This window comes from Homo sapiens, chromosome 5, assembly GCF_000001405.40.
Source record: "Homo sapiens chromosome 5, GRCh38.p14 Primary Assembly".
In the NCBI taxonomy this organism is placed as follows: domain Eukaryota; kingdom Metazoa; phylum Chordata; class Mammalia; order Primates; family Hominidae; genus Homo; species Homo sapiens.
This window is the reverse complement of record NC_000005.10, coordinates 83,481,906-83,497,550: the sequence shown is the minus strand read 5'-3', so window position 1 is coordinate 83,497,550 and position 15,645 is coordinate 83,481,906. Positions and strand designations below refer to the sequence as shown.

The following is a 15,645-nucleotide window of genomic DNA, read 5'->3' as shown; positions in this document are numbered from 1 at the left end:
AGACCATTTCTAAGAACACGAGCTGATATTGAAATGTTTACTAGTGAATATAGCTAATGTAATTACTCTTTAAAACTTAATAGGTTATTTTGAAAAGCAGAATTGAATATTCATTGAATATGCATAACTGTTATAATCACCACCTTAGAAAAAGAACCCTACTAGATTTTTCTCCCAAAACTAGCAGGATTTAATTTAGTGCAATTATTCAAATTTTATAGAGAAACACATATGTCAGGAAGATATGACATTATAAAACAAGAAAGGAGAAAAAAACAGGTCAACATACTGTCAACTATATATCTTTCACAATAAATAATTAAATTAAAACGGAAAATTAATTGCCTTTTTGAGCAAGTTTTCATTTTATACTTAATTGGCTTTTTCATCAGACCATCTGGAATATATGGCTTCTGATCTAAATTAATTGCACCTTGGTTCATAACTCCTATGTGTGTGTTCCATCACATGCATTCTGAATATACCAAATCTTTTACTGTCCCCACCATTTCTCATACACACACACTTGACTCCCCCAAATATAATAAAATATAGGTGGGAATTATTTGACTCATGAATTTAGCAATGCCTCTTACAAGGAATCTTGACTCACCTTCAAATAATCTTTTATCAACGTGACAATTGAAATACCAGACGTAATTTTATGTAGTCAACTTTCCACAAGAATTTTTTATTAATTCACTCATTAGCCATGGTCTGTACTTCAAAAGGGAAGACATATACTTCAGTTAAGAAATGAGAGAAGCCTTACAAGAATGATTTTGTGATCTTCCTCTTACCTCATCAGCCATAAAAGTTACCTTTCACCCCCATTCCTGCTCACTTTCAAGCCAAGAAAGAAAAGAACAGTGTCCAAAGATTTGATACTTAGTCCAAGAGCCAATAAACAAGGAGGAAAAAAATGTCAGGAACAGTGTTATTGTAAACATGCTGAATATCCTCCAGAATTGTCAAGTTTCTTCTATGAAACAAATAAATGCCTTGTTACTTTGCTGACACTGATTTCAGCCAGTGCTTGAATTAATATTTGAACTGACTCTTTTATATTTCTCTTCCAATTTTTACATATTAAAACAAAAAGATGAAAATTCTGTTGATTTGGTATAAAGAGCCTAAGTAAAGTTATGCTATATTCCACATTACAAGTTTTCAGTCACCAAGTATGTAGATTTATCCAAAATAACTTTATAAAATACAGTTGGGTTACATTGGGACACAAACTGGCTTCTTTAGAAGTGATTGTGTTTATGGAAGTGGGAGAGGACGTCTATAAGACTAGTAAATCCCTCGTCATGGGAGATATGCATACATCCTCAGAGCTCCTCTTCTGACAGAGTCCAGTTCCTGAACACTGGTTATGATACTATGAGCAGACTGTGGGGAGCCATCGTTCAATGAAGACAGTGTGGCTAGGAAATCCCTGGAAGGACTCCCACCACTAAGACTTGTCAAAAATTCTTCAAACAGTACTTGCAGAGGCCCTGAAATTTCTGGGACTTCTATAAAATCCCTCCCTGGGCTTGAAAAAATAATTTTGAATTTGGGCAGTCTAGAGCCTTAGAGAGCTAAGAGCTGATAGTAGCTCTATCAGAGTAAACTCAAAAACAAACACACGGGGGGTCTCTAGGGCTCTCTGGCTGGTGGCTTCATGGGTACATAAGCCTGTCTTTCCACCAAGGAATCTGGCTTGGGATGCTTATTCATATTTGAATCACGAAAGCCCACCATTTAAATAATATTTGGTAAAGATCTTTTAGGTTAATTAGATCTTACATATACTTTTGCAAAAGCTACCTCTGGATCATTTCTAGTATTACTAGCATTTCAGATATTGTTTATAACTATCACCCTTGTAGATATTACACTAAATTAAAACAATAGTGATACAAATTCCCACCTTACCAAAATAGCAATAATCCAATTTATTTCCTAGTTTATTTAATCAGATTCTCCTACCAACCATCTCCTCTTCTATTTTTTAAATCAATTAAAATAAAGGCAAGAGAAAAGCTCTAGTTTTATGTATTTCAACCATAGCTTGGATGTTATGTTTTCCCTTTTCCTATATACAAAAATAAAATTTGCTCACATCTGCACTTTTGGTTTAGAAAATACATCTGGCAATCTTCAGTGATAGTGAAAATAAGAATGCTAAGATACTAGAGAACCACACCTAAGCACCCTTTTTGAAAGCAGGCCTTCCGATGCAAATTTAGTCAAGGCATTAGGAAAATATAAGCTGCTTATATTCTAGCTTTCGGGCTCTAAGATTGCTTATTCAATTCACAGAATCAGGGAATCACAGAATTTTAATGTTGAAAGAGACCATAGAAATTATCTAGTCCAGCCTCCTCATTTTAAACATAAGAAAATTCAGATCATTCTTTTTATATGCACCTACTCAAAATTAAAAGTATAATTTAATTTAACACTATTATCTATACTTTAGGATTCTAATAATAGCTGTTAATACAAATGAAAATCCATTTCAAAAGTTGTAGAAACTTCTATTCCATGTGCCTTTATTTTACTTATATTTATGTATTTGTTGAGACAAGATCTCACTCTGTCACCTAGGCTGGAGTGCTGTGGCGCAATCTCCTCAGCTCGCTACAGCCTCCACACCCTGGCTCATGTAATCCTCCCACCTCAGGACCCCCCACCCCCACACTTCTCTCACTTCCTAAGTAACTGTGACTACAGGCATATGCCACAACACCTAGCTAAGTTTTGGCATTATGTAGAGACATGGTTTCACCACGTTACCCAGGCTGGTCTCAAACTCCTGAACTGAAGCTATCTTCCCACCTAGCTCTCCCAAAGTGCTGGGACTACAGGCGTGAGCCACTGTGCCCACCTCCCTGTGCCTTTATAATAAAGCTGCACCATGCTCTTTAGATAATGTCGGTACTATTGAACTCAAATTTGTCTTTAAGAATCTCTAACTCAGGCAAAGGAGAAATGACAGTGCTGAAATCAGACTGTAAGCGACTTGAAAGGAAGGGCTATATCTTAACTGATTTCATATCTCTAACAACCAGCAGAGTACCTACAAAAATCACAGTAGGTGATTTTTAATGTGTTAACTGGTTTAACGTATTGACTGGTTGAATGAAGGAAGGATTGCTCTGAATATTAGTGTAACAAAATAAACAGGAAGTCAAACTTGAAAATTCCTGCTGGGCTAGTTTATGGAGTTATTTAGTTAGCTCTGGGGTGTTTATCAGTACTTGGATTCACAGTGGATTGTCATCACATGATTTTTATCTTATGCTCTCACCAGAATAGGTACCACCCTTACAGCTTTCTATTCTCAATGATCTAAAAGTGTATTGGAAACAGTCCAAGAGCAGCATGACTGTAAGAAAACCTGCCATTAACTGAAGACATTTCTAACCTGCATAACCATTTACACACTCCTCCTTGCCTTTCCACTTTAATTTCGGCTTATTTTACCACAAAATCATACAGTCGTATAAACAAAATGCCACCGTTTGGAATCCAAACAAGCACGAAGACTTGCTCTATTCCAATGAACTTCTGGTCTTCCCTCAGTTTTCTCAGTTCATACGAAGATATAGAAACTCAAACATCTTACCATCCAGATGATCCACATAACAATACACATCGTAAGTTTCCTGGGGAGAACGGAATCCATAAGTCCTGACTCCTGCCTTTCCCATCTTATCTCCATAACAGCCTACTCTGGGAGCCCGGATGGGATATCTGGGGAAATAAATGGCTAGTTAGTGGCACTTTCTTCTCACTCTCAAGTTAATAATGAAGCCTGTGGCCCCCAGACCTCTTACCTGACAGTCTGATCAGCCAGCCAGCCTGCGTCACACTGCTCAAATCCATCTTCATAGGCAGCAAAGAGCTGCTCTGGAGTTGCTATGACTGCCCCAACGTCCAAACAAGCCTTCTGAGCAGCCTCAAAATTCAGTGTGTACCTGCTGGTTGCCGCCCTGTAGTGAAACACAACCCCTGCAAAAACAACAGCAAACAATTGCCAGCCTGTTCAAATCTCCCACTGCACTGTGCAAAATTTCTCATTGGAGCAATGTATCAACTTAGTTGGATACATAGTAATAATATCATAATAATTATTTACTTTTACTTCATGCAGCATTATGCAAAATCATGTTGATTTGAGGGGCTCCAAAAATGCCATTCATCTAGACATCCCATTCTGCTCCACCAGAAAATTTCCTAGGGGATCTCCTAGATCAAGGAAGAGATTTAAGTCACTGAATCCCAATAGTTGTCCTGATTGCAGGCAGTATTCACGCAATCATGGGAACACCAGATACCTAAAGGGAGTAGATTCTGCAGAAGATACAAAGACCTAAGGGGACCACAAGATCAACTTCTACTTCAGGACTTTATCCGGGGTCAACCCAATATTTATGCATGAAACACTCACCTGTCTCATAAAAATATTCACTAACACCACTTCTTCCAAATGTAAAACAATGAGATATTTACCTTCAGAGACAATGTACTAGAGTGGAAAAGACACTGGACTATTTATGAGTGAGAAGACTTGTTCCAATCCCTAATTTACTCCTTACTTTTATACAAGTCAGTTTCTCTGAGCTTTAATTTCCTGTCCCATAAGGTGGAACTAAAAATATGTATGTTACTTGATTGGTGTGAAGGTCAAATTAGGTAAAGGATTTTAAAATGTTGAGTAGACCACCATGTACCATTCAAATGTTTATCATATTCTTTACCTGACCAGCATAACGTAGGGTCTCTGCTATGACAGATAACATGTATAATTTTTATCCAAAGAAAGCCTGAAATAAATTCTCAAATTCTTCCTAGTAGAAGCTCCTGATACTTGCCTCAAATTCCACTTTGTTGTATTTTAGGGGTGGTATAAACTAGTGGTTTTGAACTGTGCTCCAGGGCTCAAGAAATTTTCAAAGGGATAAGGATAGAGCAAGCAAGGGGGTGGAGCTCTGGATCCTCTCTTGCCATGTCAACAAGAGTCTCTCCATTTTTAGCTGGGGTAAATATGATGACTCATTTCTGCAAGACATCAAAGTGGATTGAACTAATATGCCAGAGAAGTCACTGAAAAATAGAAATTGAGGCAACTGGGTCTTATGAATGAGATTTTATTAAGAGTCATCCCATTTAAGAACACTTTGTTGTTGTTGTTATTTGGGATAAACTGTGGTTTCCAAGATACGTGCCACTCTTCTTATCCCTAGTAATTTCCTGGGATGGACAACAGTTTATCTTCTGCAGCCTGACTTCTAGTTATAAGACTGTCTCCCATGTGTTCATCCTTAGATCATCTCTGTCTTCCAGAGTTATATTACTGTAGTAATATGACTACAGGGGAAAAGACTACCCATCTCATAGATAAGTGCCTCAGATCAGTGCCAACGCAAAAAGACCTGCACGGGCACTAAGTAGATGCAATGACAACTGGCATTCATTTTCTCATTTCTGATATTTTATGACTCAAATAGGAGATTTTGCCAAAAAAAAAAATCAAACGCCAATTTGTACCTTTATAGAACCTCTCTAAAATTGCCAGAAAATATATATGGTGCTATCTGGTGAATATAAGAGATAGCTTAAAATGATCTCTAAGGCTTAAGCAAGAATTTGAATAGATTTAGATTAGTTTAATGTTGATCAAAGCTTCAAATAGTCTTCTTGGTAATTAAAAATCTTCCATGTGCACTGAAGATTGGCAGTAAAGGGGCACAAAGAGGCCTCCTCGACCAAGGCAGGGAACTTCAATCTGTATAAGTATCTGCAGTTGCTGGAATAATTTGAAGACCCCATGGAGCTAAGGAGATTAAGTGGAGGATTTTCATTGTTTCAGAGGGGCAAGGGGCAAATCCATTGCTAATTCTTTAATGATGAAAAATGGTAAGAAGTTGTTAAACTCCTTTGGGGATTTTAAAAAGTGATACGTAAACAGAAGAGAGAGAGAGAGAGAGAAATCACAGTAGTGAGGCTAACAAAAATAATGATAAAAAGGTTAGAAGAACCCAGGATACTTAGTGGATGCCTAGACAACATAAAAATAGATTTATAGAAGGAAGCAATGGAATTTGAATATAAAAGGGTATCAGAAAGTTAATGTGTTGCATCTGAAATTCAAAGTATTTCCTTTTGGCTACACAAGAAAGACTTTTAATAAAACCCTTTGTATATATTTCTGAAAGGTAAATATTTTATAGGGAAATGGAGGATTGGAAGAAAATCTGTTCCATCATGTCTGGGTATTAGAATTTTGCTTAATAACTTGCCAAAATATTACGCTTCCAAGGGCTATGGCATTATGTGTGTACCCAATTAAAGCAATTTTTCTTTGCTTTGTCTCCTAACTTAAATTCAAATGACATATAAACCACCCCTGAAAAGAGGGTGAAACTAAAATGTCTCACTGCAATACTTAACGGATAACAACTAGGATATTAATCTTAAAAAATATACTAAATTTCTGTTTGATCGAATTCAAATATTTATTAAGTCTTGGCCTTTTTAAGACTCTGATATGTACCATGGTTTTTATTAAATACCTTATTTCTTCGGTATAAGTTAAGATAGAATTTCCTAAAAGCAAACTCAAATATTTTAATAATCATATTAAGAGAGAAAAAAGGGGGAAAGGTTTTTCATGTGTATATGTGTATATATGTGTGTATATGTATGTACATGTGCATACACACATATGTAATAATTTTTAAAATGTAGATTCGCCTTCAGAGTCTTGAAAAAGAATCACTGATAAGACTCAACACTGAAGTAATGATTATTAAATTATGTGTCATGCCTTGAGGTATTCGTTATTTTCAGTATACAATACTTTCCTTCATGGAATCAATGAAGTGGCTGCCAAAAATGCACCTGCCTTGACTTTTGAATGAGTACCAGTTCATTTTTGGTGAAAGACGTGGACTACTGGATTGACAGGTGTTTTTCCGCTCATCCAAACCCCAAACAACAGTTACTTCTGAGTGCTATTTCTCAATGCTTCTGAACCAGGTGTCATGTTATACTACCTTCTTGCAGATAATAAAAGCCTTACCATCCACAGTCAGTGACACCGTGTCTTGTGTGTCTTCAATCCCGTACATGACGTCACAGCGGTAAAGACCCGCATCACTTGCCAGCAGCTTGACCACAGTGAGGGAGGCATCGCCCACAGCCTCGGGATGTGTGGGCACAGACACTCTCCCTTTGTAGTCCTGACCAATCTTGATATTTCCATTTTGGGCCACAAGGACAGTAGTCTCTTTCAAATCTTTTCCATTTTTGTCCACTTCAATCTTAGACCATTTGATGCGGAGAAATTCACTGGTGTTGTAACTGGGTGGCAAAGTAGGCATCGTTGAAAAATGACAAGGTAGGCTGACTTTTCCAGAGAGGGAGCCCCTCACCGGTGGGCTTTTTCCCACTTTGACTAGAGGAAAGAGAAAATAACAAATTAACAATCTTAAAAAACCCAAACTTAATCTATTCAATATGTGAATGGATAAGCAGCCTTTATAATAGTTTGGTTACATCTTCAACATGTGACATAATTAGAATGACTTTATATAAAGAGAATAGCATACAATTTCAATGATGTTTTACAACAACAGGGATTAATAATGCTCATTTCTTTATATAGAAATGTGGCATCATTCATTTTAAAATTTTTTAACTTAGTGTTTAACATGAACAAAATAAGTGATAAAAAAAAAAAAGGCAAGCATAAGAGGTCAAGCAATTAAGGGCAAAGAAGGGCAGACTAGAATCCGTAGGGCAGGTTTAAAGGACTGGACCAACATTAGGAAGAGCAGCTGAAAGATGAAAATTATGTCTACAGGTCGAAAGACAAAAAATGTTTGTTACAATAACTGCCACATTACCTTAGAGGAAATGAAAACAAAATTCAAAGATGAAGTGAAAATAAAAAAGTGCTTCATAGGACTGGAACCAGGGAAAGCCTAACATTTGAAGGATGCACTTTGGTCCTGTGTTGGAACCAAAGGCTTTCATAATTATAACAAATCCAGCTACCATCACTTTGCAGTGAGACATTACCTTCAATTATATAATGGGGAAAGGTTGGTTTCTGTTCACCTAACCGTCCTAAAATATTTATCTGCAGAATGTCCTTCTGTTTAAACTTTTAAACTTTTAATGATAAAGAATATATTGACTACAGTTTAACACCATTACCTGCAAAATAAATGTTTTTTCACTCTTAGAGGAATCCATCCCTTTCTCTCCCACTCTCCTCTCTATCTTCCAGCCTCTATTAATTAGGCTAGACAATATGTTAGTAATAATGGAAGTTGTTGATAATGCACAAACAATGCTTACTTCATGAAAATATGGTCAACAAGTTAATAGTAGCCTCTAGGTGAAATGAAATAATGATTTTTTAACCAACAAAATGATGTATATCTAACACTCTGCTAGTGGTCAAACATATTGGAAACACACATCTCAACATGGGCATGCATTGGAAATGATATCACTCTCAATGTAAACACTGTGGATTCTCAATGTAAACACAGTTGGAGAAAAGCATTTTGAAAATTGCAAGAAGATACTATGGAGATATATCCTTTAAGAAAAAAATACTGTCTTGCTAAAGATTAAAATTTTAACCTAAAAAGAGATTGGCCTATAAAACATTTCATGTGATGCAAATAAATCCAAAATAATTAATATAGTATCATATTTAATGTACTTACAATATAAATCACTAATTTATTTCAAATGTATAATAACCATTGCTGTTATGCATTTGTTTATTATTTTATTAATCTACATGTAGCTTATCCAAAGCAGACTTAAGGCACTTAATGAAATTAAATAAAAACAAAGTGAAGTGTGCTATTAGCTATACTAAATTATCCTTTGAAATATTGCTAAGACTATTATCATTTTGGAATAAAATTGCAAGGGAATAATTCCACTTTTAATGGCCTCCTTGGCTTACAAAGTAAATTCTCTAACTTAGCTCAACCTTAAAGTAAAACTGGTCGAATTCCTTACAAAGGATCCTCCACTGAGAGGAAGGATAAGCTCCCAGATGGCTGGTGAGAGACCTGAGTCAGAACACATGTCTCCTGACACCTAATCAAGGAATCTTTTAGCTCTGGTGTGCTTCCTCTGCCCCTAAATGAAGTAAAAGAAGTGTTCTTTTCAGTTCCTTTTCAAAGTCTAGATGCATCCTATTTCTATAAGTATTTAATTACTATCTGAACTGAAATATTTTAGTAATTTCATGATCTTTTTAATAAATCCGTAAGGTTCACAGAGGACTCTCTGAAAGTACCTTCTACCTATTTCACATTCCTTTAATTTGGACCTAATTAGGGAGATGATGATAACACAAAGATATTGTTCTGAGAAGAGAAAGGGTGAGAATTTTGTGCTCTAAAAATCTCCAAATTTATATTCATCATATGTTCCAGAAAATCTCATCTTCCTTCCTGAAGAATTATTTAGATGACTAACTTTGCCACAAATAAAGTACTATTTTCAAATGCAAAAATAAACAGCTTTATCATCAACTTTAATTCTGGTATGAATTTTGAAACTCTTTATCATGTCTTTTAAAATTAGTTTAAAATATATGTCTTCCAATTCTTCAATATTTCTTACAAATTATATTTCTCTTCACAATTTGAAGTATATAGGGACAGACATGAGATTCAACCCAATCTATCCAATAGGGAGGTTTCTGAAACATAGAGCATTGCTAAACAGCTGTGCTGTAAAGAAAAGGTATGTTGGAAAAAAATAACTTTAAAAAGCAATTTCCCAAGGGTTGTTTACTGTTCTAGATGTTTATATATATAAGAAAATTAAAAGCTTTGGTTGGATATAAATAATATATTGATGTGAATACAAACTTAACAAGATTAACAAAAAGCTGTGTGGTCAAATCTTTTGTGTATTAAATCTTCGGTCTTAATGCACTGGGTCACAAAAACGAAATTCACTAAATCTAAATATTTTAAGAAAGAAATTCAGTAGTTCAGAGTATAATGTTTACAGAGTATGCATGTTTAAAAGAAATCTGCTACCTACAGGAATTTGTCTGAAATGCTGACAATTCAAGTAATAAAAATGAATCCTAACAAAACATTGGCTGTTACCAGATGGTTTGTGGTCCAAATGAGTACAGTGAGGGAGAAATCACTAAATAATGAATAACCAATTACCCCTCATTCTCTGTCAGCAGATTCCTTAGAGTAAAGATGATGTAAATTCCATCTGCACAATTTGAGCAAACACACACACACAGACCTTGGCCAAATAAATGTCAAATTGAGAATATGGGAATTTATCACTCTTTCAAGTGACAAATATCACTATCTAGTTCATTCACTTATTCACGACTGTGCATGACTCCTTTTCCTACTATAAGGGGAACATCAAAATAACTAGGCCAATGGTAGATAATCAACGATTAGGACAGTTTGTAAGATAATATAATGTGTATTGTTAAAGGAAATAGTTCTTCTTGGGTTAAAATAAAGCCCATAACAATAGACAAGGTGTTCATTTATGTTAGTCGTTGACCTCATCAGTGACTGGGAATAAACAGAAAAAAACCTTAAGATGAAAGTACTTGTCTTGACTCAACAAGTTACTACTGTGTTTTCCACTATAAATCCAGAAAATCTGTTTTATGTGGATCGTATATTTGTAACTTTCACCTCTGATATAAAAAAATTCTCCTGAAATTAGCCCCAAACTAATTACATCTAATAATAGTGATCATGGATTTACAAAGAATAGGTAAAGACATGCAGAAATTACTCAATGTTGTTGGCTATCAAAATTATTGTTGTAAATACTGTAAAGGAGGTACAACACAAGTTGTTTTTCATTGCATGAGTTCTTTCTTTAAGTGGAAAGTCTAAATTTCAGCTGAAGGATGGTCGCCTACTACTTTCCCTGTAAATTCCCTTCCAATACAGCCCATCCAAATACCACTCCCCTTTTCATATCCCTTTCTCCATCTTCACTGGTTGCTGTTGTCCTTTCCTCTCTGTGACCTTCACCTTCACCTCCCAAAAACTTTGAGGAAGACAGCTCCTAGGCTTCACCATCTGATTAGCATGTCTTCATGATCCAATTGGTGGAACCTAGACTCTAAAAACTATCCAGGTGGTCCACTGTGGCATTTATTTATTTATTCACTCATTTAGTCAACACACAAAATGACTAAGTGCTGTCAGTGTGTCAGGCACTTTGCTAGAAGATGAAAGGCCTTTTTGCAGCTTATAGTAGCCTACTTGGGAAGAAAAACAATAACTTATCCCAAGAGCATGGAAGATGTTATTATATCTGCAACAGCACAGGGGACAAGGGGAACATGGAGGAGGAATTTATTTATTTATTTATTTACCAGTTATTGAGATAGGATCTCACTTTGACATCCAGGCTGGAGTGCAGTGGTGCGATCATGACTCACTGCAGCCTCGACCCCCTGTGATCAACAATTCTCCTGCCTCAGCCCTCCCAGTAGGTGGAGTTCCAGCTACTGGGCTACTACAGGCCCAAGCTACTACAGGCCCAAGCCACCACCCCCGGCTAATTTTTTAAAATGTTTGTAGAGATAGGGTCTCACTGTGTTGCCCAGACTGGTCTTGAACTACTGGGCTCAATCACTCCTCCGACCTTGGCCTCCCAAAGTCCTGGGATTACAGGCATGATCCACTGCACCCACCCAAGGAGGAGCTTTTAAATTGGTTAGAAAGGGGAATCTGGAGGTGAAAAGGGGAAAGAGAGCCATCCCAGGAGTCAATTTATTCTTGACTCCTCTCATGTCCTCACTACACACCCCATCCAATCCATCAGTGGATGGACTGACTCCTCCATCTCCACATATCCAATTCACTTCTCTTCATCTCCACTGCTACCTGATCTAAACTACTCCCCACCCCATTTCATGCACAGGCTACTACAATAACCTCCTAAATGATATCTCTGCTGCTACCCTTGCTTTCCTACAATCAAATCTGCATAGATTATCAAAAACTGAATTTTCAAAACATTCATCAACTCATATCTTTCTTTGCTGAAACCCTTCAATACTTCCTACTGCACTTGGAATAAAATCTAGACTTTTTTTTTTTTTTTTTGACATGGAGTTTAGCTCTTGTTGCCCAGGCTAGAGTGCAATGATGCAATCCCGGCTCACCACAACCTCCACCTCCCGGGTTCAAACAATTCTCCTGTCTCAGCCTCCTGAGTAAAAATTCTAGACTTTTTAAAGCCTACAGTGTTCCATGTAGATAAGAAGTATAACATGGTGGTAAAGAGCACACACTCCTATGAATTGGTTCATCTCCAAGCTTTGCTTCTTACTGGGTATGGGCGTTCGAGCAAGCTGCTTAGCCTCTCTTGGTACCACAGTTTCCTCAATAGAATACAGGGGTAATGGATGTTTCAGTGAGTTAGTGTTAAGCACTTAAAACAGTTCCTGGATCATAGGGAGTTCTATTCAAGTTTTGGGTGTTATTATTATTTAGATGAGCTGGTTTCTGCTAATCTCTCTGTTCATGTCTCCTACTTTCCCCTTGATCACTGCTCTCCAACTATAGTGACCTTTCTGCTATTCAAACACACGATGTTTCTTCCTAACTTACAGACAGGTCTTGGCTGGCTGGTTCCTCATTATCATTCTCATCTCACTTTAAATTTCACTTTCTCAAGGAGGTCTTATCAACTTCCCCCAACTCAAGCCACTCTCTATGATGTCACTCTGTTTTATGTTCATCAATTTGAAAGTACCTGGATTGTTTGTTTACTTGTTTATTGCTGGTCTCCCATAACTAGAGAAGTAAGTTTAAAGAACGATAGGCCAGTTATGAGTCATCCATGGGTATATTCCCAGACACCCAGAATAATATCTGGCACAAAGAAGGTATTCAAAAAATATCATCAATGGGTGAACAGATGAATGGGTGAGTGGGAAAAATGGATGGATGAATGGATGGATGGATGGATGGATGGATGGATGGATGGATGGATGGAAGGATGGATGGATGGATGAATACATGGATAGATGTTGATAAGCAAACAGATGGAAAGATTTTGGACAGATGGAAGGATGGATGGATGGATGAATACACGGATAGATGTTGATAAGCAAACAGATGGAAAGATTTTGGACAGATGAATGGATGGCTGGAGGTATGGATGGATGAATAGATAGATGATGGATGGATGGAGGGGTAATGAATAGATGGATGACTTAAACTTTAGCAAAAGGAATTCATCTGGAAAATCATAAAAGGTGAGTCTGATGCATAATATAAGTGTGAGGAAGAAATGGAATCTGAGTCTGGAGAGGTACACTAGACAGACAGAAGCAGATGAGTGAAACTCTTGGATAGCATCTTTCTTCAAATTCCTTGAATATATTAAATAATAAATTTGGAATTATAGAGCCCTCATTGGAAGAATATAAAATTTCAAATTAAAAAACTAGGGCATATGCATATCCAACTGCTTTTTTAAAAAAGAAAAGAAAAGGAACTAAGGGCAAAAACATGGCTGTCAGCTTTCTCTTTATCTTCTCAATTCTTTTCAAATTCTAGCCCACTGGGTGTTTAATAGTGTTTCTTTTTTTGCATAGGAAAGTTTTTGAGAAATAGTGTTAGAATTTTAAAATATGCCCAATACCATATATGAGCTTTTTTGCAAAGCCTGAAAGTAATCAGGGAAGTTACTAAAAGCTCACTTGCATCTTTAGCATCCTACTTATTATTTTGTTTTGACTTATTTATTTAAAACTAATGTTTTTGGTCCAATAATATTTTAACTGATAGTTTTCAGCACTTAATAGATTTTAAAAATCAATCTTTTATTCCAGTGATTCCACATTGCCATTTCATCCTCCAGCACTTACATTTTTATTTCAATTAACACCAAAGAAATTGTTAGCACACTCACCTTTATGTAGCGCATGGGTTACTATTAAGGTTGAACACATCCATAAGATGCTCTTTATATTTATGAACATCTTGGCCTAGAAATGAAGAAAAACACAAAGTAAATCACAAGCATTCAGGTTTAAAGTGGGTCATAAATCACATGCTTTTTGTGCATTGTATGTAATAAGGGTAGTATTAAGCATTAAGTAATAAGAGTAGAAGAAGTAGCTCCTCTTGGACTATAAAAACAGGAGTAAACTTGTAATAGCAGAAGCTATCTCAATGCTTTAATTATTAGTTTGAATCTCATCCAATGCAGCCATTACCAAAATCATTCCAGAATACAGTTTGGGAACATATAACAATGTGGATGTGTGTGACAACCACAAGTGAGTAGGCTGTATGAAGAACAACAGAGACCACAGTTCAAGTAACTAGTGGATAGGAGCTGGCACAAAAAGAAATGGGTGACCACAAAGTCTATTTAGAAACAGACAGCTGATCATAAATAGAGCAAGAGAAGATGGGGAGCAATAGAGAAAGATGTTGAAAGAAAGACATCTTCATCAAGTGTAAGGTGAGAAGGAACCAATTGGTGGTTCATGCACATAATACCAAAACAGAGAATAAGGACTTCGGCAGGCTTTTTAAAGCACAGACTCCATGTAGTTTCTAGCTGGCTAAGCAAACAAAACAAATGTATTATAAGGAGGTGTTAATTACAAAAGTGACCAGTTCTTGCCATGAATTTTAAAGCAGTACCAACAGTTCTAACGTCTCAAGAGTAAAGAATGAAAGAAAATACCCTGTACTGAGTCAAGAAACTGCCCTGGCTTTGCCATTTAATTTATTGCATGACTTTGGAAAAGACATTTAACAATCTGGGTCTCAGAATGTTCCCTTCCAGCTCAAATTTCAAGGCAGCTATAATGATGAGGAGGAGAAGAACCTGTGTTGGGGAACCATCTAGAAATCAAAGTGCCAACTTCAAAAGAATGGCAAAAGATTATTTGGTTTTTACAGTTGTGCCCTCCTCGGTAGCATTTAGAACTATTCTATAATAGCCATGCGTTTCTCCTTTCTAACACAACTCTGGTTCCATTCTAGTGCCTACCCTCAGTCACATACTTTGGAGAATCCTGGGTCAAACCCCAGCCCAAGGGATGATCTTGATATCCTAAGTCAATTATAGAGGTACCATTCCCTTTTCCAATGATTGGATTTGGAACAGTATATAATATAGTTTTGGCCAGTGAGATGTGAGGGGATCTCTTCCTCCAGTGAAGGGTCCCTGGGAAAGATAGATTCATCCTGAGAAGAGAACAAAGGAAGAGGTGGTCAGTTTTCTTCCCTGGACATTATCATGCTGGAATCTTTCTGCTGGAACTGTTGTAGGGATTTTGCATCCATGAGTAAGTGAGATACCTCTGGAAATGAAGCTGAGAAAGAATCAGCAAAGGCAAGGCGTAAGTCCTTAAGGATTAGACCTAGAGTGGACCATGCCTTTGAACTTCATTTTATATGAGATTATAAATGTCATTATTGTTTAAACCCAATAAAATCGTGACTTTTTGTTCCTTACAGTTGAAAGCATCCTAACTGGTATATATTTTTCAGCTGGGACCCTGAAAAACTTCATTGGAAAAGAAATTCTATATTATTTAGCAAACCTAGATTGAAAACAAGCTAATGCTGAAATTAG

General features: G+C 36.6%; 1 protein-coding gene across 4 annotated transcripts in view; it reads right to left on the bottom strand.

The window, feature by feature from the left end:
* Positions 1 to 15,645, bottom strand: part of VCAN (versican) — a 110,559-nt gene that overhangs the window by 84,752 nt on the left and 10,162 nt on the right. For all 4 annotated transcript variants that reach the window (NM_004385.5, NM_001164098.2, NM_001164097.2 and 1 more), the window contains exons 2-5: positions 13,963 to 14,038; positions 7,079 to 7,453; positions 3,831 to 4,005; positions 3,620 to 3,747 (exon numbers count right to left, since the gene is read on the bottom strand). In NM_004385.5, the coding sequence (NP_004376.2) occupies positions 3,620 to 3,747; positions 3,831 to 4,005; positions 7,079 to 7,453; positions 13,963 to 14,032 (748 nt within the window). In that variant the 5' untranslated portion in view covers positions 14,033 to 14,038. The remainder of the gene's footprint in view (positions 1 to 3,619; positions 3,748 to 3,830; positions 4,006 to 7,078; positions 7,454 to 13,962; positions 14,039 to 15,645) is intronic.